General features: G+C 38.1%; 1 annotated feature.

Annotated features, from left to right (window-relative positions):
- Window positions 886-935: an enhancer, noted in NCBI's record as "active region_8671". NCBI's record gives its function as "activates an Ori minimal core promoter by ATAC-STARR-seq in GM12878 lymphoblastoid cells {active_cell/tissue: GM12878}" and the evidence as "EXISTENCE:reporter gene assay evidence [ECO:0000049][PMID:35858748]".

Genomic DNA, 1274 nt, shown 5'->3' with positions numbered 1-1274 from the left:
CATCTTATAAAACTACCAGATTTTGTGAGAACTCACTCACTATCATGAGAATAGCATGAAGGTAACCAGCCCCATGATTCAATTGCCTCCCACCAGGTCCCTCCCATGACACGTGGGGATTATGGGAACCACAATTCAAGGTAAGGTTTGGGTGGGGATACAGCGGAATCATATCAAAGCCTATGGGATTTTAAAAATTTAACATAAACTATCAAATTAACCTCCAAAGAAACTGTACCAATTTATATTCTCACTGGCAACATACCTGAGTGCCAATTCCCCTAGCATAAAATATATGTAAATATGAAGAAATAAATAGTAGTATAAGTTCTTTCACTCTTTGTCAGACACTGTCAAATGCCCTTTACAATAATTATTTTATGTAATTCTGACTACCCTGTAAAGTAGGTGGTAGTATTATGCCCATCCTAGAGATGAAGAAACTAAGTCTTGGAAGGGTTAAACAGCTTTTCCAAAGCCACATGTTTAATTATCGGCAAAACTGAAACTGAAACCTAGGTTTGCCTGATATCAAATCTATTTTCTTAAACTCTGTACTCTACTTCTTTGCTATTTATTCTCACTGGGTCTTTAACCCACATGGAGAAACATGGAAAAATTTTTCTATCTTGCCTCAAGATTCTGCCCAGAAGCCCTAACATTGCCAGCGCCAGAAATTGGTTGAGGGCAGTATTGCTCAGAATAAGCTTGTAGCACTAGAAAGCCACAAAACTATATTATCCACTAATATTAATAGAACCTTCAAGAATTATAATGAAGCCTCCTTTTTATGGTTTCCAGCAGTGTGAATAACACAGAAGCAAAGGTAATTTATTTTCACCTTTCTTTCCCTTGCTAAGTAAGAAGTAACTGTGTCTTCAGGTTGCATTTTTAAAGACAATCTCAAGTTTTTCTTGTTCTTTGTCATGGACCTGAGGGAAGGTTCCCACAGGTCCTAGTCTATGCCTATTTGATGCTTCTTGGATATTTGCCCAGTCGCACAATTAGGTATTGAACTTCGTTTTGTCATAACACATAACCACTGCAGGAGAAAAATAATCCCCTGAATGGAATGACCTGTGCTTATAGTATAGATTTTGCTGGAACAAGGTCAACAAACTGCAGTAGCTATTAGTCATTGCCTAGTTCTTAGAACCCTGCTAAGACAGAAATTGCCCACACAAGAAAATCTTGAGGTTCACCTCGGCCTTTTAAAATGACTAAGAAAATTGGGTAAGGGCAGGGCTGAAGTGGTCATTACAGAGTATGGGGAA

Source organism: Homo sapiens, chromosome 14 (assembly GCF_000001405.40).
Source record: "Homo sapiens chromosome 14, GRCh38.p14 Primary Assembly".
Taxonomy (NCBI): Eukaryota; Metazoa; Chordata; class Mammalia; order Primates; family Hominidae; genus Homo; species Homo sapiens.
Note: the sequence above shows the minus strand (reverse complement) of the source record. Positions and strands in the feature narration are given on the sequence as shown.